This window comes from Homo sapiens, chromosome 16 (genome assembly GCF_000001405.40).
Source record: "Homo sapiens chromosome 16, GRCh38.p14 Primary Assembly".
In the NCBI taxonomy this organism is placed as follows: Eukaryota; Metazoa; Chordata; class Mammalia; order Primates; family Hominidae; genus Homo; species Homo sapiens.
Window position 1 is genome coordinate 53,741,423 of NC_000016.10, and position 27,613 is coordinate 53,769,035.

Below are 27,613 nucleotides of genomic sequence, written 5' to 3' on the forward strand. Positions count from 1 at the left end.
ATTATAATCTGTGAACCACTCTGTTGCTCTTTTATTTGTATTGTACAAACCCATTAGATGTTACCTAGGAACAGTAATAATAATAGTAGTAGTAGTAGTACTTACTATATGAATTAAAATTGATTTTAATTGTTTAATGAAATAAAACTTTATTTTTTTCACATAATCTGAATCATGACCTAGGTAGTGGTCAAGCTGCCCAAGAAGGTCATTGAGGAACCAGGATCTTTCCAGTGTCCTCTTCTGCCATTCTCAGCATGCAATTTCATAGAGAGAGGGTGACTAAACTCTGTTATTGTTGTGTATCAAGTTACCACAAGTCTTAGCAATCTGAAACGACAAATATTAATTACCTTACAATTTCTATGGGTCATGAGTCCAGATACAGCTTAGCTAGTTGTCTCTGGCTCAGGGTCTCACAAAGCTGTTGGCTGGGAAATCGCTTATTTCAAGACTTGACTGGGGTGGAGGGGATCTGATTCCAAGCTCACTCATGTAGGTTTTGGGAAGTGACAGACCCATACTGGCTGTTGGCTGGAGAATCAATTCCTTGCCACGTTTCTGTCTCCATAGGGCAGCTCACAACATGTTTGTTAGTTTCTCCCAGAGTATCTGGGGAGAGTGGGGGGTAGGTTACAGACTTTTTGTAACCTACTCTGGGAAGTAATATTCCATAACTTCTGCGGTATTCTGTTTGTTAGAAGTGAATTTCTAGGTCCAGCCTATACTGAAGGGGAGGAATTCCAGGAGGGTGGGAATATCAGGAGGCAGGGATTATTGAGGGTCTTCTTGGAGGCTGCTTTACTATGTGGTTTCATTTAAATGTGGTGGGTAGACCTTCAGGCATTGGCCTGGCAGGAAGGGTCAATACCAGCCCTTCCAGTTTTTCAATTAGAACTATGCCATATGGCCACCCCTAGCTGCAAGAAAGTCTGGGAAGGCAAGTTTTTTTTGGTGACACATTGTTGCCCAGGTCAAAATCAGGATTTTGTTGATAAGAAAAATTTCGATAATAGACACTGGGTGGACAACAGAAGGTATCTACTATCCCTGCCTTCTAAGGTGGTTATAAAGGTTCAGTGAGGCAATCCAGCACTGGTCTGGCTTATAATATTCACTCAGTTAAACAGGAGCTATGATTATTGCTGTTACTTAAAATCACATAATATAGCTTTGTAAATTAGCTTGTGACAAAACAGGATCCCTATGTGTTGATACTAAAAGAAGTAGCATAAAAGGAAGAAAAAAATACATTGATTGGGTGCATAGTATGTACCAGGCATTTTATTTACATGCAGTATCTGAGTTAATCTTCATCATAAACCTAACTGGGTATTGTTTGCCACACTTTATAGATAAAGAAAAGAAAGCCCAATAAGATTAACTAGGTTGTTGAAGGAGCGCTTTCCACTAGTGTGCCTTGAGTGGGTTATAGTTTGTGGAGATATTGGTTCCTTTAGTTCTTGGAATGGGCAGATGGGGACAGGGGTAACTGGAGCCCCTGGTCTCTTCATCTCTAACTCTGGGCAGCCTCTTCTGATTACTCCAGTGTGCCTTAAAAAATATAATTTTCTGCACACTCCATGATGTGGAAAAGGTTAGAGTGTATAACTCTATCCATGAGTAAGTGAATCCAGGTATGTATAATTCCAGCTGCCTGTCTCCTTTCCACTGTCAGGCTCTCAACAATCTATAGAAGCCTTGAATTTTCGTTAGCCTAAAATTTGAAATGCCCCTTCATTTGCTACAAAAATATTATATTTCTACATTTTCTTGGATTATAAAGTGATTTAAGTTAACATGATTTGAAGCTTCACTGTGGTCGGAATGAAAGCTTGCTTGGCCACTAGGTGGCTCCTTTTGGTTCTTTCTCCCAGTCGATGGTTGTGGCTTTGTCCTGTGCCACCTCTTAGAAGGAACCTAAATTGGACATAAGGAAGCCTAGACAACAAGGAGATCTGAAATGAATGGGACATGCACTCTGATGATTGCAGTTACCTTTTCATCCTTTACTTTCCACTCCTGTTCCTCCTGTGCTCATACGCTGATGTTTAGGTAACAGATCTAGTCCCTGGAGCCTCAGATGAGTCTTTGATATCTCTTTCTCACTTATAAAAGTGGGAAAGTGGGGTAAAGAACTTTTGTCCTCATCTAGTATGTTAGGTAATAAAATAATTGTAACATGTTTGCAGATAATTTTAGGCACAATTTTTAATACAGCTTATTATCGTGGGAATACTTGTGTTACTACGCAGATAATGATTGCACTATTAATATTAATTTCCCTATTCTTTAATTTAATAATACAAGCTTTAACTTACATGTATTATCTCCTATAATCCTCATAGGAACCCTGCCTAGTTACCATTTTTTTCCCCCTGATTTTAGAGATGAGGCAATTGAAGCTTAGAGAGATAGGTTAATTTGCTCCAAGTTTAATAGAGTTTGGTTGCTTTCAGATTTTTTCCTCTCCGTTTGGAAGTTGTTAATTCATTATAGTTGTGGGCAGAGTTTTGACTTAAGTCAATATATTTAAAATTCCTATGAAATAATTCAGTAGAAAGTACTTCTGGAACCATAGTTTGGTTGCAAGTACAGACATCATTTTCTCCAGTCGTCTTGTAGAAGTGAGCAGTAGCTGGAAGTGGGCTCCCTTCAGGAAGGCTACAGGCTCTTTGCAGAATTACAAATTGTATACACTCAGGGATCACTTCCTTTCTCTTGCCTACAAATGCAGCACCCATTATCATAGAAACTGCAGGGCATTTGACAGCTTAGGTTCAGACTCGGAGCTCATAGAATGGAACATTCTTCTTCTTCAATTAGAGACACACTAAAAAGATGGGAAGGCACCTAGGCCTAGGGTTTTCTTTGAGACTGCTGACTGATGTGTTCTCTTTTACCCAAATTTAGATTCTGCATTAATTTCCAAATTTCTCTGGTTGCCTTGAAAAAATAAATCGGCTCATGCTAGGTTTTCTTTAGTCACGAATAATTTAACTGTGCTTAGTATCTCTAGTTGACTCCCCAGTTGTGGTGGTGATTTCTGCAGACCATAGGAAAATGTATAACAAATGTGAGATGAGAGAGCCTTGTCAGGCAGGGGGCACTTACTCTGGGAAGTCAGAGCTGGCAGTGGGAGCAGTCCCCAGCACTAACAGGTACACCCACAAGATCTGCCTCCTACACTGTCACTTCTACCTCTTTGTTCCCCTTCCTGACTCACTTCCTGCCAGTGATTTGTGACATATTTCGTAGCTGATCAAATGAGCCCCTGACACCTGATTGCCGAGTGCTTCTTGTTTACAGTTGCTTTCCAAGGACACCTAGACAAGATGGAAAGCTTAACGTGAAGTAATTAAATTTGCATCTGCTCTGTGACAGGACTCTAAGGACTTTTCTTCCCCCCCCCCATATATGAATCTCATTGTAGAGCTCCTACCGTCTTTGACCATACAACATCTAAAAAAGGGAGGATGTGGACAGGTAAACAAACATTGGTTCAGTCTACTGCCTGTCATTATCATGATAAATATTAAATAAGATCACTGATATCCCTTTCTTATTTGGCTTTCTACTCTTTACCTACTTGTTTTGCCAGATTGGTAACTGATTTTCAACATAAGAACTGTAGCTTGGAGGTGATTTAAAAAGATATTTTTAAAGGAAAGCAAATATTGCCAAACAATCTGGTTTGGTTTAACACCCTTTGGATTGTACATTTCTCACAAATGCTTATGAATAATTCAGCAAAGCCAAATGCAATCTGCTGGTGGTATCTAGTGTTATTCACACTTGCTAATGAATAATTCCCTTTGGCTTTTATAGGGCGGCTCTAAGGAATGACTTCTGAGACTCAGATGAGTTATTATTGGGCTATTTGTCAGTGTCCTTGGGGCATTGCGAGCCAAAGCCCAACTTGGCTACCCACTCCACATACCTTCTGCAATTCTTCTGGGAAACATGCAGCTCTCTCTGTCCCAGCTTTTTAGCCCCAGAACGTTGCTATGAAAGAGACTCTAACAGAAGAGGAAATAAAAATGACAGAATTCAGCTCCACTGTGATTGCATTGGTTCAGTTCCTTCATTGTTTCATTCATATAAAGAAATGTTTATTGAGCACCTTAAAAGCATTGTATGTCCACAAAGATAAGATAGATTTTTATGTGCAATGTCCTCAAATAAACTAGAAAGTGTAGGGTGTATAGGAGAGGCATAGGATCCCAGAGGAGGATGGTCAGGGTCTTTTGTCAAAGTGATCAGTTACCATTTTCTCATCATGTTCTCAGGTATGCACTTAAATGCATATTTGCCATTTGTGGTGTTGGGTGAGGGTTCCGTTGCTTTGGATAAACCTAAGATTTGACTAATCTTGAAACTGCTTAAAGGATAAGCCCTATAATGTGATCCCAGATATGACTAAGTGGCCGTTGTTCATTTCTGTTGCTCTGAAGTCAGGAATGTGGTATGACCTGGCTTTACCAGCCTGGGCAATCTAAGGATGGTGAACGTGGATTTATTTATGCTTGGGTGGTTATATACTTATACCTTAGCAATCATACTGCATAATGTATAACCCTGAGGTCAGTGAGTGCATTCAGCCTTGGTGAGGTTGTTTCTGGCAGCCTGTATCCATTTCAGTTTTCTCTATGCAACTCCTAAGTTTTCCTCTAGAGGAGTGTAATCTTCCTCTGAGCACACTGGAAGATTACAGTTCCCAGCTTCCTTGCAGTTAGGTAGGATCATGTGATTAGTTCTAGCCAATGACGTGGAAGTGATGGGTATTATTTCCTGGTCAAGACATTAGGAGCTAGTGTGCCACTTGCATTCTTTCCCTTTCCCTGCCACAGTGACTTTGGGGGCCTTGTGTTTCAGATGGTGGGGTCTCCATTGGGCTGATCCAGGAAGGACTGAGTGGAGTAGAGTCCATTCCCTTCCCCCATCAACATATTAGACAGGTAACTTGAGCAAGACAAAGACCTTTGTTGCATTAAGTCCCTGAGATTTGGGGGTTTATTTATTACCACAGTGTAGCCTGGACCATTGTCACTAATATAGAGGGATTAGTACAGGAATAGCTGTGTGCTTGTTATTCAACATGATTTAGCCAGCTTTAGAGAATGTAGTTTCTTTTTTTTAAATCATTTTTTATTGTAAATTGCCAAATCATAGTTGTAAATATTATGGGATGCAAAGTGATGTTATAATTTATGAAAACAATGTGGAATAATTAACATATATATCAGGTCAAATACTTACCATTCCTTTGTGGTTAGAACATTTTAAATGAACTCTTGGTGATTTTGAAATATATAATATGTTATTATTTACTATATTCATCACACTGCAGTATATCTAAAGTAGAAAAAACCTCCCAAACTTACTCCTCCTGTCTAATTGAGGCTTTGTACCTTTTGGCCATCATCTCCCCAATCTTCTAACACTCCTAGCCTTGGGTACCCACCATTCTATTCTTTGCTTCTTTGAGTTCAGTTGTTTTTGATTCCACATGTAAGTGAGAATATGCAGTATTTGTCCTTCTGTACCTGGCTTATTTCACTTAGCATAATGTTCTCTCATTCCATCCAATGTTGCTGCAAATGACAAAATTTCTTTCTTTTTAAAGGCTGAGTGGTATTTACGGGCTGTGTATATATGTCACATTTTCTTTGTCCATTCATCTGTTGATGAACACTTTGGTTGATTCCATAAGTTGAATAGTGCATAGTGCTGCAGTGAACATGGGAGTGCAGACATCTCTTTGACATACCAATTTCAAGTATCCTGGGTAAATATCCAGAAGTGAAATTGCTGGATCATATGGTAATTCTATTGTTAGTTTTTTTGAGAACTCCATAATTGCTGTACTGATTCACATTCCCACCAACAGATTGCAGGGGTTCCCTTTTCTCAACATCCTCACTAAAACTTATTTTTATCTCTTTGACAGTAGTCCTTCTGGCTGGTGTGAGGGGATATCTCATTGTGGTTTTAATTTGCATTTCTTTAATGATTAGTAATGTTGAGCATTTTTTTCATGTATCTGGTGGCCATTTGTCTTCTTTTGAGAAATGTCTATTCAGGTACCTTCCCCATTTTTTAACTGGGTTATTAAATTTTTAATGTAGAGGTATTTGAGTTTAGATATTAATCAGATGTATAGCTTATAAATGTTTTCTCCCAATCTGTAGGTTGTCTCTTCACTTTTTTAATTGTTTCCTTTCTTGTGCAGAAGCTTTTTATTTTGATGTAATCCCATTTGTCTATTTTGCTTTTGTTGCCTTTGTTTTTAGGGGTCAGATATAAAAATAATTGCTCAGACGAATGTCCTGTAGTTTATCTACTATGTTGTCTTCTAGTAGTTTTGTAGTTTCAGGTCTTATGTTTAAGTCTGTAGTCCATTTGAGTTGATTTTAGTATATGGTGTGAGATAAGGGTTCAATTTTATTCTTTTGCATATGGATATCCAGTTTTCTCAACACCGTTTATTGAAGTGACTGTCCTTTCCCCAAAGTATATACTTGGCACGTTTGTCAAACCCACATACATGCATGGGTTCATTTCTGGGCTCTATTCTGTTCATTGGTTGATGAGCCCATTTTTCACTAGTACCATGCTGTTTTAATTACTATTGCTTTGTAATATGGTTGGAAATAAGGTAGTGTGATGCCTCCAGCTTTGTTCTTTTTGTGCATGATTATCTTGGATATTCAGGGTTTTTTCTTGTGTGTGTGGTTCCATATGAATTTTAGGATTATATTTTCTATTTGTATGAAAAATGACATTGGAATGTTGATAGGGATTGAATTGAATGTGTAGATTGCTTTGGGTAGTATGGACATTTTAACAATATTAATTCTTCTAGTCTATGACATGGGATATCATTTACTTAGTTGTATCATCTTCAGTATCTTTCATTAATGTTTTATTGTTTTCAGTGTATAGGTCTTTTACCTCCTTGGTATTAAATTTATTCCTAAGTATTATTTTTTCACAACTCACTCTTCATAGAACTATTTTTTATAGCTATTTTATTTATTTATTTATTTAGAGACAGAGTCTTTCTCTGTCACCCAGGCAGGAGTGCAGTGATGTGATCTTGGCTCACTGCAGCTTCCACCTCCTAGGTTCAAGCAATTCTCGTGCCTCAGCCTCCTGAGTAGCTGGGCCTACAGGTGTGCACCACCATGCCTGGCTAATTTTTTGTATATTTAGTACAGACAGGGTATCGCCATGTTGGCCAGGCTGGTCTTGAACTCCTGACGTCAGGTGATCCACCCACCTTGGCTGGGATTACAGGTGTGAGCCACTGTGCCTGGCCTGTAGCTATTTTATTTTATTATTTTATTTTATTTTTTTGAAACGGATTCTTGCTCTGTTGCCCAGGCTGGAGTGCAGTGGTGCGATTTCAGCTTACTGCAACCTCCGTCTCCTGAGTTCCAGCAATTCTCCAGCCTCAGCCTCCCCAGTAGCTGGGACTACAGGTACATGCCACCGTGCCCGGCCAACTTTTTTGTATTTTTAGTAGAGACGAGGTTTCACCATGTGGGCCAGGCTGGTCTCAAACTCCTGACCTCAGGTGATCCACCCGCCTCGGCTTCCCAAAGTGCTGGGATTACAGGCATGAGCCACCGTGCCCAGCCTTGTAGCTATTTTAAATGGGATTGTTTTCTTGATTTCTTTTTTATATAGTTCACTGTTAGCATATAGAAAGACTACTGATTTTTGTGTGTTGATTTTGTATCCTGCAGCTTAATTGTATTCATTTATTAGTTCTAACAGTATTTTGGTGGAATTTGTAGGGTTTTTAATATGTAGTGTAAGAGCATATCATCAGCAAACAGCAATAGTTTTACTTCTTCCTTTCCTATTTGGATGCTTTTTTTCTCTTTTTCTTGCCTGATTGCTCTGGCAATACTCTAATACTATATTCCACTTCTGTACTGAATAGAAGTGGCAAGAGTGGGTATCTTTGTCTTATTCTGAATCTTGGAGGAAAAGATTTTAATTCTTTTTTTCTTTTTTTTTTTTTTGAGACGAAGTCTTCGCTCTGTGGCCCACGCGGGAGTGCAGTGGCGCAATCTCGGGTCACTGCAAGCTCCGCCTCCCGGGTTCATGCCATTCTCCTGCCTCAGCCTCCCGAGTAGCTGGGACTACAGGCGCCCGCCATCACGCCCGGCCAATTTTTTTGTATTTTTAGTAGAGACGGGGTTTCACCGTGTTAGCCAGGATGGTCTCGATCTCCTGACCTCGTGATCCGCCCGCCTCGGCCTCCCAAAGTGCTGGGATCACAAGCGTGAGCCACTGCGCCCGGCCAAGATTTTAATTCTTTACCATTGAGTATAATGGTAGCTGTGGGCTTATGTATGGCCTTTATTGTGTTGAGGCACATTCCTTTTATACCTAAGGTATTGAGTGTTTTTATCATGAGAGGATATTGAATTCTCTCAAATGCTTTTTCTGCATCTAATGAGATGACCATCTGGTTTTTGTCCTTCATGTAGAATGTAATTTCAATTGGGAATCAAATGGCAGATCTAATTTAGGGGCAGAAAGAGAGTTTGTTTCATCAGTTATCAAAGAATCTGTGCAAGAAATAACATTGGTGAAAACAGAGTCATGGAAGTAAAAGAATAAGTAGTAAGAAGAGACAGAGTTGAATTGAGGCTATCATAACTGATATTAATGAATTTTAAATTGCATTTGGCATGTTTAATTGGTAAGATTATGAACCTGTAATTTTTCTCTTTGCTTATAACTTATATCAAAGTCTGGCCCTTGAGCTAAGAATGGCTTTTTTCTTTTTCTTTTTCTTTTCTTTTCTTTTTTTTTTGAGGCAGAGTCTCACTCTGTTTCCCAGGCTGGAGTGCAGTGGTGCGATCTTGGCTCACTGCAACCTCTGCCTCCCAGGTTCAAGCAATTCTCCTGCCTCAGCCTCCTGAGTAACTGGGATTACAGGTGCACGCCACCACACCTGGCGAATTTTTTGTATTTTTAGTAGAGATGGGGTTTTGCCATGTTGGTCAGGCTGTTCTCAAACTCCTGACCTCAGGTCATCTGCCCTCCTTGGCCTCCCAAAGTGCTGGGATTACAGGCATGAGCCACTGTGCTCGGCCAATAATGGCTTTTAAATTTTTAAAAGATTATAAAGAAAAACAAAGAAGAAGAAGAATATTTAATAGGGGCCATATGTGGCCTGCAAAGCCTGAAATGTTACTAGTTAGTCCTTTACAGAAGAAGTTTGCTGACCTTGGTAAGTTTGCTTACCATCTCTACAAACTATTATCAAAAAGGATCACACTTAACCAAAATGTGAGTTCCTGGAGAATTGGGAACTCATTGCTTTTATTAATCTCTGTGTCTTTCAGTCTAGCATGGTACATGGCAACACAGTAGAAGATCACAGCAATTTTACTTGATTGAATTGCACACAGAACATGGGCAATATGGAAGACAGTTTAGAGGATGAAAACCAAAAACAAATTACGAAGGTTGTAGGTCTAAAGAAATAGAACTGTTCTTCCTCTGTGCTTGTGGGTGGTGACATTCCTGGTTTGTTTAAACCTAAGTATGGACGTTTATTTAATTTTCATATTCATCTTCAAATAAAAGGAAGGTTTTAAAACAGATGTGTCCAATCTTTTGGCTTCCCTGGGCCACAATGGAAGAATTGTCCTGGGCCACACATAAAATACACTAACACTGGTCAGGAGTGGTGGCTCACACCTGTAATCCCAGCACTTTGGGAGGCCAAGGCGAGAGATCACTTGAGCTCAGGAGTTCGAGACCAGCCCAGGCAACATAGTGAGACCCTCTCTCTATTAAAAAAAAATTTACCATCCTGGCTAACACGGTGAAACCCCGTCTCTACTAAAAATACAAAAAATTAGCCGGGCGTGGTGGCCGGTGCCTGTAGTCCCAGCTATTTGGGAGGCTGAGGCAGGAGAATGGCATGAACCCGGGAGGCGAAGCTTGCAGTGAGCTGAGATCATGCCACTGCACTCCAGCCTGGGCTACAGAGCGAGACTCCATCTCAAAAAAAAAAATTTAAAAAGAATGAAGTATTGGCACATGCTACACCATGGACTAATGTTGAAAACATTATTCTAAGTGAAAGCCAGATATGGAAGACTAATATTATATGGTTCCATTTATATAAAATGTCTATAACAGGCAAATCTATGAAGATGGGAAGTAGGTGAGTGATTGCCCAGGGGTGGGGTGAGAATCAGGAGTGAGGGCTGATCGGTGCAGGGGTTTCTTTTTGGAGTGATAACAAAGTTCTAAACTTAGAATATGGTGATTGTTGAACAACTCTGTGGATATACTAAAAACCATTGAATCATATACTATAAGTTGGTGAATTTTATGTTACGTGAATTACATCTCAAAGATACTAACAAAAATAATGATGCAGTGGATTGCCTATTTCCTAGTGATGTTGCTGGTTATTTTTCTCTCTGATTCAAGCTGCAGTCAGGATTTGAATCGCTTACATTTTACCTTCTTGAAGTAAGATCTTCTAAAAACAAAATTGACTTATAGTCAAATCCTCTTTGACCCAGCTATGTTCTACTTACATGAATTTGCTCCATTTTTTGTACTGGCACATGGGCACAAAGACATATGTATAAGAATATTCATTGTGGCATTATTTGTAGTGGCAGAACACGAGCAATCTAAGTATCCATCAGTAGGGAACAGTTTAAATACATTAAGGGAGATGAAGCTAGTGAAGATGAAACTGTCTTCAAGACAATTAAAAGAACAAGGTGTAGAATACTGTTACTATTTGTGTAAAATGCTTGCATATAGACAGAATATGTTGTAAAGATTCAACAGTGGCTACCTCTTTGGGAGGCAAAGATTGGGCTGATCTAGTAATAGGAGAGGGACAGCCTATTGCAGGGTTGCACTTTAAAAAAAAATTATACTTTCTTTTCATGGAAGCATTATTCATAATTAAAAAGTGGAACCAATGCAAATGTCCACCAGCTGATGAATGGATAAACCAAATATGGTATAGCCATCCAGTCACGTAAGTAGGGTCAAAGGGGATTTGAATATAAATCAATTTCATTTTGAGGAAATCTTAATTCAAAAGGGTAGTGTTCAAATATTATCTTTAAAATTAAAAAAGTTGACTCCTAGACTATATCTCAGCAATCAATCTTGCATATCTTTTTGCATACTTCTTTTCAATCCATATGGAATAATTTGTCTTAAGACTCATCCCTTCAATTCACCCTCCAACCACTAATGATGCAGCAATTATGTGGTTCCACTGTAATTTTAACACTGTCTTCTAACCCAGCTGTGTGGCAGCAGTGTATCTGCAGGGCAAGAATGTGGCTTGCAAGGGTCAATATCACACTGCCCACAATTATTTTAATGTCTCCTCTGAAATGATAAATGAACTTTATAGTTATAATAAAAAGTAAACCCATTCCCCCTAAGGTATAAAGGGTGTACAATTTACATAGTCAGATATGACTGCCTTTTTTTTTTTTTTTAAAGAATCCTTCGTTGAGGGCTTTAAAAAAAAACAGGGTTAGGGATAGGAATAGGTGGCTCATGCCTGTAGTTCCAGCACTTTGGGAGGCTGAGGCAAGTGGATCACTTGAGCCCAGGAGTTTGAGACCAGCCTGGGCAACATGGTGAAACCTTGTCTCTACAAAATATTTGCTGTGCATGATGGCGTGCACATGTAGTCCCAGCTACTCAGGAGGCTGAGGTGGGAGGATCACCTGAGCCTAGGGAGTTGAGGTTGCAGTGAGCCGTGATCGCATCACTGCATTCCAGCATGGGCAACAGAGAGAGACCCTGTCTCAAAAAAAAAAAAAAAACAAAACAAAACAAAATGCAAAACCAGAAAAACCAGGGATGGGTTTTCAGTGTGGGCATTTATTTGATCCAGCCCAATAAACATGATTAAAATATGAAAATGTTATAGGATTTATAGCTGCTCCTCTAGGAACTTACACTTTTTTTTTTTTTGCTGTTGTTGGCATAATTGGAAGAAATTCTTCCAAGTTTTGCATCTGCATTGCTTGTCTTATAACACTAACTTCATGTAACTTACAAAATATTTGCTGGAAGTTTTCCTGGCCCTAGGAGGACCCATAATTTATAACTCCTGCTTTTTATTATTTGGTGCCACTTGTGGCTCGTGTCCTTCCTAATTATTGCAAATCCTCTAGCCTGCCCCCACATTCACTCAGTAAGACTGCCACCTTGAGACATGAGCTGTTGGTGTTTGCAGTATTTAACATAGCATCTACTACCATCATTTAGCTATCTCTGACAAAGAGCTCATTGGGCCCTCTTGCACCATTTCCTCAGCTGGGAAGTGTGGGATTGTAGAAGCTGCTTCCCTTCTCCCCACATCTGAAGCTTTGTCCTATCACATGAAGCTAGGATTTCCACGCTTTCTTTCTAGCTGCAGGAGAACTGGCTGCTCAGGGGTGCTGCGTTTTCTACCTTCTGACCCACAGCCAGAGGCAGCTCCCACTGCACTTTTTCATTTGCATTAGATGGCACTTTGCTTTATACAATTGACGTCTCCATTTAATTTTTATATCTTGCCTGTATCGTTAGAGAACGGGGTTTGGAGGTGTTCATGACTTATAGAAGCCCCACAGTTAGCCCTTTTATGATCCCTCTTTTAGCTAGGCCCTATTTACAAATTTTGTAAATTTAGATGGCTTCTTATTAAATGATGTAAACCCATCCATTTGTACTGTTAAAGCTGTCATGAATGGTATGGCATTTTTGAGTCAGGCCGTCCTATAGCACAGCTGAAGCACACTGAGGCCCAGAGAGTTTATTGGCTTCTTCAAGATTACAAAGCTACTTAATTACAGAGCTGAATTTGGAATTTAGAATTCCAGGTCCAGAACTTTTTCCATAAACTGAACTGAAGTAAAAGCTCCAGGCTGGGCGCGGTGGCTCACGCCTGTAATCCCAGCACTTTGGGAGGCTAAGGTGGGTGGATTACTTGAGCTTAGGAGTTCAAGATCAGTCTGGCCAACCTGGCGAAACCCCATCTCTACTAAAAATGCAAAAATTGGCCGGGCACGGTGGCGGATGCCTATAATCCCAGCTATTCGGGAGGCTGAGTCAGGAGAATCACTTGAACCCGGAAGGTGGCAGTTGCAGTGAGCTGAGATCGCACCACTGCACTCCAGCCTGGATGACAGAGCGAGACTTCGTCTCAAAAAAAAAAGCTCCATGATACCTTGAATTTAAGGGAAAATTAATGGTGAGTTAGGAAAGGCATGATACACAATGCACCAAACAACACTCCATGAAAATACCTCAACAACGAAGTACTTTGGAAAGAGATGACGCTGAGGTATTTAAAATTTTATTTACTTTCATGATTATCCAAGAAGTAACAAATCTTTTTTTAGATTATTTCTGATAGTCTTTACATGTTCTTCCAGGTACTTCTGTAGCAACTTAACAGATCGTATGACAATATGCTGATAGTGATTCTTCCTTTTGATAACGGTATTAGAGAAGACAGACAGTGCTAGGACAACTGTACAAACACCATTTCTCATCGCTATAGGCAAGCCAGAAGCCACATGTTTCCTAGGGAAAAGGGCTGACCTGTTACCATTGCTAGTTGTGTGTAAAACATGTGTTAGAAGAAGTAATTATGTTTAGCTGACTGACTATGACCAAGATTAATAGCTCTTGAAAGGGCTGTAATGAAAGGCTGCCCCAACTGGCTTCCACATTATTCTTTATTTATCCCGCTCTCATCCCTGTCACCTTTGGGCACCAGCCAAATGTCATTTATGTGAGATTTGCCCCTTGGATGTGAAAGGCCTCTCTTTCTTAATGATGGGAGGCGATTGGGCTGCAGGGCTGGAGAGCTTGGACGGTTGACATGACCCAGAGGAGATGCTCCAGGTCTGTGGGAGTCAGAGGCCTAGGACTCTCCCTCCTGAGGGAGAAAGAACATGAGGATATTCAGCTGTCTGATCCCGTCCATTGAGGTGTACTTGAGGGATTACAGGGAGTACTTCAAACACTCTGTTGTCAAGTCCATATATTTCGGTGGCTCTTCAGTTTGGAGCACTTGGAAGTTTCTTATTTTGAAGACCATTTGTTTGAATGAAATCATCAATCATTTCTAGTTTCGTAAAACTTGGAAGTCTCCTTGTGGTAGAGACTGCACAGATCCCTTCTTGCTTCTTTGAGTCATGGACTTTTCAGGCTGGACTGCTGCCCAAAATGCAGATTGCATTTCCCCAGCCTCCCCTGCAACGGGGTGTGGCCATGTGACTGAGAGAAGGTGTACTATGGGAGTCTCTGAGGTGTTTCTTTAAGAGAAAGCTGGTGTATGCCCTTTGCCCTTTGCTTCTTAGGCCCTTGCTTCTGTCCCGCTGCCTGGAATGTACATGCTGGACTTGGATCTTGAAGGTGAAGCCCAAGCCTTATGGGCTAAAAGGGGCCGGGCCTCTGAGAACTTCAGGAGAACCACTGTCCCAGCCTGGTTAAGCCACTGTTATTTTGGATTTTTTGTCACTTGTAGGCAAATCTAAACTTAGATAATACACTGTTTCTACACTTGCAGAAGATGAAAACGCCAAACCCTTGGATTGCCTTTTCCCTTCCTAAGTATTAATATCAAAACTTAAACAGGTTCCTTTCCCCTTCTTTCAACTCCTCTAAATTAAAACAACCTACAAAAAGATCATGCAGTAATTTATTTAAAAACTAAAGACATGAGAGAGATCTCAGTAAGAGAGATATATGAGAGGGAGATTAACAAGAAGGCTAGAAAGGAAAATAACACATTTAGGAAAATGATAACGAGGACTGGTCTTCATGGCCTTCTGTAATAGGTCAGGGAGCTCTCACTCCCTTCCAGTGTTGGTGGCAGCAACAGCTTCTTTTCTTAGATTATTAGAGGCCCTAGGGATTCGATTTCACCTGCTTTGTTAAGGCCATAGGAAGCTTTTTAAAATTTCAGATTTCAAATGTCAAGTCTCTATTCAGTGCTTTTGGGCCCCTTGCATCAGAGTGTTTATATTTTGCCTGACTCTTTGGTTTCCGGCCATAAAGTTTGCATGTTGTCATCTTTTCTCTAACATTATGTGTATTAGATAACATGTACTACAATAGCTATAGTGGGTTACAAAAGATTCTTAACACAACCCTTTTAAAAGAGTTGCAGAGATGCGTAATTATTTTTCATGATTTTCAAAACTTTTGAAAGAGAAAAGCAGCTGTTTGGTTCACTGTTCTCATTAGCATTTATATAGTAAACTAAGAGAGAGGTTTTCTGTGCAGTGTTTTTCCTTGCTGTTTCTTGCCTTTTAATTTGAAGAATAGCAGGATCTTGTCTTTTGTTCACATGAGTAGAAGTCCATTCAGCTGGAAAAAGAACAGTGCACTCTTTGTGTACTCAGAGCATTTGAATGCTTTTGGTCACACACTAGTTGCTGTTTAACTACAATAAAATTGTGACCAAAGGAGATAAACATTTAAAGGATAAATGACAGGCCTGTTAATCTGAAAGCAAGTTTTGTAGCGTTGTTGTTTTTAGCTAATAGGTGTATAGCCAGGAGTCACGGTGATGACTTTTAAATCTGAAACTGAGTGAAGTCTGTGTTTTCAACCAGTTTAAAAAATGTTGCCACTGGACCTTTTTAAAAAAATATTTTTAAAAATACGACAAAAATTTTATGTATTTATGGTATATACTATGATATTTTGACATGTATACATTGTAGAATGGCTAGATCAACCTAATTAACATATGCATTATCTCACATACTTTTTTGTGGTGAGAACACTTAAAATCTACTTTCTTAGCAATTTTCAAGTATATAATACATTGTTATTAACTGTAGTCACCATGTTGTACAAGAGATCTCTTGAACATCACTGAACATATTTATGGCTGATCATTTTGTGTTTTAACAATCATTTGAACATGTCTAAACTGTCTTTAGAAACTGGTAGGGATTTCCTTGCTGTGTTTGCTAAGCTTGGCCATGTCATCCACATAAATATCTGAATATATTCATATATGAATACATACTGTATATAATATGTGTGTATATATGAATACATAATACCTATATTTATATATAATATGTGTGTATATATGAATACATAATACCTATATTTATATATATAATATGTGCATATATAAAATGCCCAAGTATATTATCTAAGAAAAGAGCCACTGGGGCTTTTATAAGTCTATGATTTCAGAACTATGTCCATCTTTACACCTCTAAAGCGTTATGATTTACCTGATTTGGTGGAGGAAAGGTATTTTTGGTAATTTTCTGTCCCTATGGGAATTCAAAGGATAAATTTCAATCTCTTTTTCTTTCTTTCTCTCTCTGTCCATCTTATGCAGCTGAAAACTGGCATATGACTCTTTGAGAAGAGCTCAAACAGTTGTGGTAAGGGTGCTTAGATGTTGAGTGCTATCTGTTTTCTGGGGTGTGAAACATACAGGGTTTTACCAGTCTGTTGTTGCAGAGTGCTGGGTGTATTTTGCTTTAGCTGACTGTTCCGTTGGAGTATTCAGCCTTTCTTTAGGATAACAAAAAATAAAATTAATCAAAGGCATAATCAAGGACGTTTTCCTTTTGTACAGTCACATCTCATTATACAACATTAGTCTTAAGCTTTGCCCACCTGCCAGATAGGTGTAAGATGATTAATGAAAGCTGAAACTCTCAGTCTAGAGGAGACAGCAGGGACTGGTGGTGCTAGTGGTGAAGTAAGAAGTACATATGCTGCCTAAAGGGACTCTGGTTCAGTGTGTGAATGTCAGCCCAGTGTTGCAAATATTCTGACTTTTCAAAAGAAGCAGGACATCTAGATTTTTATTTGAAATCTCTTTATTTTAATAAGCCATCGACTAATTGAAATTTAAAACCTGTGTAGTCCAAATAGACCATATCTACAGGCTGGAAGGAATAGAGGGCCTGCCTTTTGTGACCTCTGTTGTTTGGGGAGGTTATGTAACCATTGTAACCAGGGAAGGATACATGAGGATTCCTCTTCAGGGAAGCTGACCAGCCCAATAAAAAATATATAGGTTGACATTTGGAGATATCTTAAAAGACGGCCAGGTTTCCATCATATCGCTCTGTAGTGAGGCCCACCAGTTGACAAACTAAGCTTCTGCACATTCAGCTTCTGATCTGTTTCATATTCCCTCACTGGAAATTATGAACTGATGGGCAAAGATCATTGAACATCCAGGAATGCCTCAAATAGGAATGACAAAATACAGAGCACAGAAACAGAAGAAAAGGAACCCAGAGGAACAGGAAAATGTGGAGAGCAGAAAACAATTTCAAAACAAATTATAATTAATATTCCCAGAGAGATGAGAGAAAATACACGAAACAGGAACAAGATGCTAATAAAAAGGAACCTTCACACTGTTAATTTTGTTAGTTGTGATAATGTATTGTTATACATTTTTAAAAATCTTATACATTTAAAAAAAAGTTGTCCTTAGTTATTAGAGATTTATGCTAAATAATTACAATTTGAATATTGTGATGTCTGGGATGTGATTTGAAATAATTCAGAAAAAAGGATAGAGTCGTGTGGGAGATAGATAAAATGAGATTGGCAAAATGTTGGTAATTGTTGAAGCATGCTGCGTAATGGGCGCATAGGGGTTCATTATATTATTATTTGTACTTTTGTGTGTTTGAAATTTTCCATTATACAACCTTAAAGAAAGGATCATTTAGAAAGCAAGAAAGAGCTTGCAAATTGAAAATATGATAGCAGAAATTAAATTTTCAACAGAAGTATTAGAAAATACAGTTGAAGACATTTGTCCAGAAATTAGCCCAAAACAAAGCAATGGAAAATAAGAAAGGAAAAATATGAAATTAGAGGATCAGTCCAGGTGGTCCAGTATTTAACTCTGGGAGTTACAGAATGAGAACCAAAATATCAGAAGGAAAGAGATTATCAAAGAAATAATACAGGCTGGGCACAGTGGCTCATGCCTGTAATCCCAGCACTTTGGGAGGCCCAGGCAGGAGGATCAGCTGAGGTCAAGAGTTCGAGACCAGCCTGGCCAACATGGCAAAACCCCATCTCTATTAAAAGTACAAAAATTAGCTGGGCATGGTGGTGGGCACCTGTAATCCCAGCTGCTTGGGAGGCTGAGGCAGGAGAATCACTTGAACCCAGGAGGTGGAGGCTGCAGTGAGCCGAGATCGTGCCACTGCACTCCAGCCTGGGTGACCGAAAAAGACTCCTTCTCAAAAAAAAAAAAAAAAAAAAAAAGAAAAAAGAAATAATACAGGGTCATTTCCTTGACCTAAAAGACATGAGTTTCCAGATCAAAAGAGCCCAGTGACCGCCCAGCACAACAGATGAAAAATGATCCCACTATGGCATTTTATCATGAAATTTCCTAACCCCAGAGGAAAAGAGAAGATTCTAAGAGCTCTCATTTGCATCCTGAGCTGGTCTAGGATCCAGGGTTTCCTTGGGCCAATGCTTCAGATAGTTAAACTCATCTTTTGCTTGGTCAGGGATGTGGTGGTTGCCTGGCTGTTGGGATTGAGAGAAAGAATCTAGGGTCTAACCTCTGCTCTTGACTTCCAACTAGTCTTCCTGTTTTCAGCTTCATGGTTGAAATGCACCTTCCTTCAGAAGTTCCTGGTTATTGTATTCCTGAGCCTTTCTGTAGATGGTGGCATGGGAGCTCACTTCTTATTGGTCTTCCCCTTTTCTCCCTCAATCCTGTCTACCAGTTAGTCTTCAGCTTTGGTGTGTGTGTGTGTGTGTGTGTGTGTGTGTGTGTGTGTGTGTGTGTGTGTGTGTGTTTTTTGGAGACAGGGTCTCACTTTGTCACCCAGGCTGGTGCAGTGGTGCGATCTTGGGTCACTGCAGCCTTGACCTCTGAGGTTCAAAATCCTCCTGCCTCAGCCTCCCAAATAGCTGGGACTACAGGTATGTACCACCATGCCCAGCTGATTTTTGTATTTTTTGTAGGGATGGGGTTTTGCCATGTTGCCCAGGTTGGTCTCAAACTCCTGGACTCAAGCCGTCTGCCCGCACTGGCCTCCCAAAGTACTGGGATTACAGGCGTGAGCCACCACACCTGGCTTTAGGATTCAGGTTTTGCTGTTACATTACTTGCCATTCCTTTTTCATCTTTTAACATCTCTCATCTGCTTGCTTTCTTTTTTTTTTTTTTTTTTTTCCTGAGACTGAGTCTGGCTCTGTTGCCCAGACTGGAGTGTAGTGGCATGATCTCAGCTCACTGCAACCTCCGCCTCCCAGGTTCAAGCGATTCTCCTGCCTCAGCCTCCCAAATAGCTAGGATTACAGGTATGCACCGCTATGCCCAGCTAGTTTTTGTATTTTTAGTAGAGACAGGGTTTCACCATGTTGGCCAGGCTGGTCTGAAACTCCTGACCTCAAGTGATCCACCTGCCTTGGCCTCCCAAAGTGCTGGGATTACAGGCGTGAGCCACTGCGCCTCATCTGCTCTTATCTTTCACATTGACTTTGACGATTTATTTTTATTGTTGTTATTGTTGTCTCCTTTTCTTTTTTCTTTTCTTTTCTTTCCTTTCTTTCCCTTTCCCTTTCCTTCTCCCTTCCTCCCTCCCTCCCTTCCTTTCTTCCTTCCTCGGTTCCTTTTCTTCCTTTTCTTTCTTTTCTTTTTTTCTGGAGACAGGGTCTTGCTCTGTTGCCCAGTCTGGTGTGCAGTGGCACAATCATAGCTCACTGCAGCATAAAACTCCTGGGCTGAAGGGATCCTCCTGCCTCAGCTTCCCAAGTAACTGGGACATCAGGCGCACACCACCACACCCAGCTCATTTTTTTTTTTTCAGTTTTGTAGAGATGGCACCTTATTATGTTTCCCAGGCTTGTTTCCAACTCCTGGGCTCAAGAGATTCTCCCACCTTGGCCTCCCAAAGTGCTGGGATTGCAGGTGTGAACCACTGCACCCAGTATATTGTTTTAATTTCTTTACAGGCGTTCCAGTGAGGTTTTGGGAAGGAGCCAAGTGCATGTTTTGAATCCACCATGTTAGAATGGAAGTTAATTTGTTGTGTTAATCATTAATTTGTATGTCAGAGTTTCTTTTCCTGAGGTTTATTTGAAAATCAACGTAAGAAAACAAAATTTAATATGGAGAAAATAATTTCCTCCTTCTTAAAGTCTCCTTTGACTATCCTCACGGAAATTGGTTTGTTTCTACTTTCTCTGAAATACTGTGGCCCTGGGAGACTCCTGCTCAGTTTAGCAAAGAATTCTCTACTGTTTTGGGTCTTAATCTAAGCACTGGATGTGTGCTTTTCACCCAACTAGATTATGGAGTCTCTGTGAACCTAGGGAGATATCTTAGTCTGCTCATTGATTACCTTACGGCTCCTTATGGATATGAATTGAATAAATACTTTGCTGATCAAAGTATACTACTCAAATTTGTATTACTTTATTTTTATATGTGTTATATGTGATTCTTTTAATGCCTTCTCAGCCTGTTGCTCAGAGATTAGTGGGAAGGAATAAATGTAACAAGTAGACTTTGGGGGTAATACTGATAAGTTAAAAATGTCATTGGTTTATAGCTTCAAGGGTATTTTACTGAAATTGCAAATGTTCTATTATATTTAGAAAGAGAAGGAATGGAAACCTGACTAGTCATTATACTGAGGTTGGGAAATCTGGAACTTGAGTTCTGAATCAGTTTTCTGTAGATAGCCTGTTTCACAGTGGATTTGCTTAATGTTTTACCGGTAAACAGGCACTCCTGTTTATTTTCAGCTCTTGCCTTTCAGCACAGGATAGCTACAATTGTTCAGAGTATGCCTCTCTTGTATAAATAACAATACTGTCATTTTCTCTAAAGTCATCCTTTTTATTAAAGAAACCCTTTAATAGTCCCACATATTCTGTAGTTATGCATTTCTGTGAGTGCTTACTGACCCCAGCACAGTGTTTAATAAATTATTGAACTTTGAAGAACCTTTGAGAAGCAAGGGCTTTATGTGACTGAGCAGCAGACATGAAAAAACGTTATCCTCCAGAGTATCTAACAGACAGAAATAGAGGCTTGATCAGACAATATAAGCACCGAGTGAATGATGGTAATACCATGAAATATTTACACCCATAGAGCATGCGAGGGTGGGGAGGAGAGTGTGGGTTTTTATCCTTTTGGGTTGAACCTGATGCCATACAACTCACCACTCTATGATCTTAAAAGCAAAACAGAAAGAGAATGAGAGAAAGAAAGGAAGAAAGGAAAAGGAAAATAAAGAAATGATGAATATTGATTTGGTGATATTTTGTTGTTTGCATTATCTTATCACAAAAGCAAGGCTCCTTTTGTAGACAGGAACCTTACTAAGAGTCAAGTTTTAATCAGTCCTTAACAGAAACTGAAGATATCTGAAGTGATTTCTTGCCACTACAAGTTTAAAGTTTTAATTTAATCAATATCTCATGATTTACCATGCCTCAAAAGCTGTCATTTTATTATCTGTAATAAATAGAGATTTGAAGAGTAAAGAACTGAATATAGCCTGATACGATCTTACTTTTAAACAGAAGATGCAATTTATTTATTTTTTCATGGGATGCTATTTTAAAGTGACTTGTGATTTCTTTAATAATGATCCACAGAGAAAATTAACATAAAGGAAGAAGTGTCTAATTATTTAGGAAAGGTTTGGAAGATGTTTATCCCGGCTAATATAGATAGAGAGTGTCTAATATCTTACAGCATAGAAAGGGGCTAAAACAAATGTGCCAACCAATTTGTTTTGCCCCTGTGCCCAGTATTTTATATATCCATTTTTTTAAATAAGGATGAACCTTTTAAGATTTCATGGTGTCATCTAACATTATTAAAAGTAATTATTGTTGATGATAAATAAAGGTTGACAATGATGTGCTTTATTGAATTTAATTTTACTCGTGGTTTATTTTAAAAACCCGCAGATTGTGTTTGGGAGATATTTTAATGTAGTATGTCTGTTTTTTGCTTTCTAGTTGTGGAAGAAAGAATCAAATTATGTATTAATAAGGAGGCTCAGATTGACCATAGACATTGGCCTTTCAAGGGGATCATCTGGTTTTAGAGGCTTTAGTCTCCTTTGAGTACCCTGGATGTTTGCTATGTATTATGCTAAACTAACGCATGATTACATTGACCCTATGATTATAGTGACCTAAATTGGCAAGTTTCTGTCACTTATAAAGTCAAGGTAGTAATGTTGGAAGGGAAACTGTAGTGAGACTCTCCTTTGCAACTGTAATGTTTTGTCTGTAGATTGCAAATGAGGGAATTTTATAAAGGCTTTATTATTTGTAATGTAGGAACCCATTGCATACAAAGAAATTTTTAGTCTAAGGACCCAGTATTAGTGAAATGTGACATAGATCTATTTGTGAAAGGGTGTACCCAGTTGAAACAGCAGGGGCAAGATTTTATTTGTATGTTTATTATTTTTGTTACCAAAGCGATGCCCTGGAAAGAATCGGGATTTTTGAGTGAGTGATGTGATGTGGATTTAAATCCTGTCTTTGCCACTTAGTTCTTTCACTTCCAGCAAGTCCTGAACCTAAGACTCAATTTTTTCTCTCAAAATGGGGCTCATGATGATTTACTTCGCAGATTTGTTAAAGCTTGTAAGCATTCAGCACGGCACCCAGAGTGTGGGAGGCACTCAATGAATATTAGCTCCTTTCTCCTTCCTTTTCAGCTAAACCAAAAAGGCTTTATCTAGGAGGTGAGACTTGTAGAAACTCTTGATTGATGGAAGGAATGAGTCAGTGAACTAGAAGAAGGGTATTCGAGGCCTGTGGATAACCATGTGAGAAGGTGAGAAGTGAGTGTGTAGTGATGGGAGAGTGTGGCTGGACAGATGGACAGATAAAGAAAAGAGGGTGTGGCTGGGCGCGGTGGCTCATGCCTGTAATCCCAGCACTTTGGGAGGCCGAGGCGGGCGGATCACTAGGTCAGGAGATCAAAACCATCCTGGCTAACATGGTGAAACCCCATCTCTACTAAAAATACAAAAAAAAAAAAAAAAGAAAAGAGGGGCTGAATTAACTGACTTGTAGAGGCAAATGTGATATTGGTGTTGGGACACATCATCTGAACTTCCACTGTCATTATCTGCTTCTCAAAATTGGAGTTGAGAGCATGTGCGAACTTGAGAATTTATTCTTCTTGTCTACTTGAACATCTCTCTTTTAAAAAATGCAAAATGTTAGAAATGTTTGATCCAATATAGGGCAAATAAAAATTGGTCTGTTCTTTTTTTTTAAATTTTTTTTTGAGACACAGTTTCACTGTAGCCCAGGCTGGAGTACAGTGGCATGATCTTGGTTCACTGCAACCTCTGCCTCCAGGGTTCAAGCAATTCTTGTGCCTCAGCCTCCCGAATAGCTGGGATTACAGGCGCATGTCACCATGCCTGGCTAATTTTTGTATTTTTAGTAGAGACAGGGTTTCACCATGTTGGCCAGGCTGGTCTCGATTTCCTGACCTCAAATGATCTGCCCGCTTCGGCCTCCCAAAGTGCTGGGATTACAGGCATGAGCCACCATGCCCAACCTGTCTGTTGTTAAATTCTACCTCTGATCGTAATACTTCGATGGAGAATACATTGCTATTACTTTTAGCATGATGGGTACCAATATGAGATTTCCAGTTGCTTCCCGCATGTTCATTTTGCAGATTTTAACTGAGGCTTATATATGCTCAGGGCTGTACTGTACTCTGGGGATTCAGTAGTAACAGACGAGAGTCCCTCTTCTCATGGAGATTAATATTCTATTAGAGGAAGAATGCTAGTAAATAAGTAAACAGTGGCTGGGCATGGTGGCTCATGCCTGTAATCCTAGCACTTTGGAAGGCCAAGGCAGGTGGATCACCTGAGGTCAGGAGTTCGAGACCAGCCTGGGCAATATGGTGAAACCCGGTCTACTAAAAATACAAAAATTAGCTGGGGGTGGTGGCAGGTGCCTGTAATCCCAGCTACTCGGGAGGCTGAAGCAGGAGAATCGCTTGATCCTGGGAGGCAGAGGTTGCAGTGAGCCGAGAGATCACGCCATTGCACTCCAGCCTGGGCAACAAGAGCGAAACTCCGTCTCAAAAAAAAAAAAAAAGAAAGTAAACATATTTAAGGTCGTAAATAAGGCCATGTCTAATAGTGATAAACAGTATGTTGTGTTAATGACTGAGGGGAGGGGACTGCTTTAGATACAGTGGTCTGAGGTCACCTTTGATGTGAACTCCAAAGGATGACAAGGGCATACATTTCAGCCTCAGAGACAAAGCTCTGAGGTGCTAAAGAGCTTAGCATGTAGAAGGAACAGAGGTGGTCAGTGGCCAGAACTTAAAGAGAAGGAAACGAAAGGGCAAAGGAATGAGGCCAGATCATGAGGGTAGGGACTTTAGACTGCGGTAGATTTCGATTTTATTCCAAGTCCCATTGGAAATCACTGGAGTGTTTTAAGGTAGGGAGCGTGTGTGTGGAGTGACTTACTCTGATTTGATTTCTATAAAGATCACTGTGGCTCTGCGTGAGGAATATTGGAAGGCCAGAGTAGAATTAGGGAGAAATATTGGGAAAGGAATGTTCTGATGGCTTGGCCCAGTTGGTGACTGTGCAGATAGACTGAAGGGGAAGGATTTAAGATACATTTTGTAGGCAAAGCTGCCAGGATTTACTTTTAGACAGCATAAGAAGTTTGAAAGAAAAGAACAATCAAGGAAAATTTCCAGGCTTTTAGCTTGAGTAACTAGATTGGTTTTGTTTGCTTGTTGTTTCTTTTTGGAGATGGGGTCTCACTCTGTTGCCCAGGCCGGAGTGCAGTGGCGCGATCGTGGCTCACTGCAGCCTTGACCTCCCAGGCTTCAGCGATCCTCTCACCTTAGTCTCCTGAGTAGCTGTGACTACAGGCGTACATCACTACTCCTGGCTAATTTTTTCGTTATCCGTGAAGATGCCTCACTGCATTGCCCAGGCTGGTCTCCAACTCCTGGGCTCAAGTGATTTACCCATTTCAGTGCTCCAAAGTGCTGGGATTACAGGTGTGAGCCTCTGCCCTGGCCTGAGCAACTAGATTGTGACCATTTACTGAGATAAGAAAACTGAGGACGAAGCAGGTCTGGGGTGAATCAGGTGCTATCCCTTTGGACAGTCACATGACTGGTGTCTGTTCAGCACCCAAGGGACCATCAAAGAGGCTGTTGTGGAGAGGGAATCCGAAGGTCAGGGCCAGAGATAGAAATCTGGGGAGTCATCCACTATATAGGTGATGGGTTAAAGCCTTAGAACTCTTCTTTTCATGAATCATTGTTGTTCTTTAGGTTGTAATGAAGTTTTAGGCCTCAGCTTCCCTGAACTGGAGTGTTTTTCCTTCACCTTTTCCGGTCTCTGGGTTGCATCGCCAGACTGTCTCTAAGCCCAACAAACGCGTTCCTTCCAGGCAAAAGCAGGAGATGACACACACCATGAGCCAGATTTTCCATGGCAGACTTGTAAGGAACAAGATAATCTCATTGTTCCTCCTGCTACTTAAAATAAAGGTAATATTGATTTTATAGTAGCAGTTCAGGTCCTAAGGCATGATATTGATTAAGTGTCTGATGAGAATTTGTAGGGTAGTCTCCCAGACCTGCAGCTACAGGGCATCTCCCCACTGGGCCAGGCCTCTGTGCTGACCTCCACTGTTATAAGTGGTGTTTTTCTTAGGAATCCTTAGCCCTGTTTAGTCTACGCACTGTCCAGAAGCATTTATTTAACCTGATGGATGGCTCAATCCAACCCATCACCTTAATCTGACCTTAAAGATGGGAACCTAATGTTTTTGTTCTTAGTAAATGTGAAGACTAATTTTGACACTGTTTAGAATTATTTTCTTATTAGTAGCAGTAGATTTCATGAATTTTCTGCTGTGAAATTTCCTATTAAAATACTATAATCTAATGTTAAATGACGAGTTAATGGGTGCAGCACACCAGCATGGCACATGTATACATATGTAACTAACCTGCACGTTGTGCACATGTACCCTAAAACTTAAAGTATAATAAAAAAAATAAAAAATAAATAAAATACTATAATCTGACTTTTTTATTTTTACTTTTTTACTTTGGAGCCTGGCTTTATGAATTTTTTTTTTAAACAGGGGAAGGTACCTCTTTTCAAGGTGTCATTATTAAGCCCATGGGACTCTTCAATTTTAATGTTATATCAAAGAGAGTAAATTTCTTGTGATTATTGTGATATGATGCATTCAACTTGCAGGTCAGGTTTTATATCATTTATAGATCAGATTCTGAAGATATCTTCAGTCAAATTTAATAACAATCAAGGAATATATTATTCACCGGCCTGAAGTATAGAAAGAGTTCCCAGAAATCATCTAAAAATAACTGTTTCATATAAAACATTTTGACTTTCTATTGTAATAAGATTAATATATTTTTCTCCCATGTCTAATTCTGGCTGGATTGTTCATGGGGTTGATGTGAGGATTCAGTGAGTTAATATAGGCTAAGGTGCATAATATAATGCCTGACACATAGTAGATGCTCAATTTATGTTAACTACTGTTAGCTGCTTTAGCCTGTTGTTAACTGCAAACTCCTTTTACATTACCTAGCACAGGCCTGGGCACAAGTATGATATTTAAGTAGATGCTTAGTGACTGATTGATGTCTCCAAACATTTGGGATTTCCTTCCACATTTGCCATAGCACAGCTTGTTTTATGTCTTTTCTAAAATGGTCTAGGTACCTGACATCCTTTGATCCTTCATATGGTTACACTCAAAAGGAGCCATATGAATTTTGACCATTTGCACATCTGCCTGTCTTTTTGGTTAGCTGCCAGATAGAGCTCAGGTTTTAAATCCTTTGCAGTTAAAAGAGATAATAAATGTTAACATTCCTAGTACAGTGCCTGGCACAGAATGTGTAAATATCATTTGATTCGGAAACATGACTGCTGGTCAATTCGGCCTCCAGGGAGACAAAACTAAGGGGTGGGGTTGTGGCTTTTTTTGAGGTAGGGGATGGAATAGATATTTCTTACCCGAGTAGAAGATGATGCCGGGGGATCTAATGCTTCTTTTAAATTTCCCTTTTGATGCACAAAGGGGCAACTCCGTGTAGCAGGACCTTGGTGGGATGGATAGGCAGCTTTGTAAGTGGAGAAATGGCCTCTGTTTAGCTTATGAGCACAGAGTCATTTTGGGGGTGGTTTATGAGTCATCTGAAATATGCATTTAATCTAGATTTGTGGCCTGCTTGGTGAGGCTGCTGCTTTTTTATGATCTCAAGTGTCTTGTCCATGTCAAAACTTGCCTTGTTTTTTTGTTTACTTTGAATCAGAAAAATGTTCACAACCACCCTTGGAATTCCTCCTCAAGTGTGCGTTTGGTCACATCACCCCTGGCTACCACCAGTACATGACTGTTTATTTTGGATGTCCTTTTCTGATGTTCAGCTAATTTAACCCACAATGAAGTTAATCCTTGCTTCTTTGGAAAAGTACAGATTTACTTATTAGCTGCCTTCCAGAGACATTTGCATTTTCATGAAAGCGAGTATATAATTACA

General features: G+C 39.8%; 1 protein-coding gene and 1 long non-coding RNA gene across 26 annotated transcripts in view; one reads left to right on the top strand and one right to left on the bottom strand.

Moving 5' to 3' along the window:
* The window catches only part of FTO (FTO alpha-ketoglutarate dependent dioxygenase), a 417,979-nt gene that overhangs the window by 37,460 nt on the left and 352,906 nt on the right, over nucleotides 1–27,613 (top strand). The window lies entirely within an intron of this gene.
* LOC124903691 (uncharacterized) lies at nucleotides 130–27,305 on the bottom strand. Its single transcript, XR_007065070.1, has 3 exons — nucleotides 27,087–27,305; nucleotides 3,941–4,019; nucleotides 130–330 (listed from the first exon to the last, which is right to left on the bottom strand). It is a non-coding gene; the product is annotated as an uncharacterized LOC124903691 (long non-coding RNA).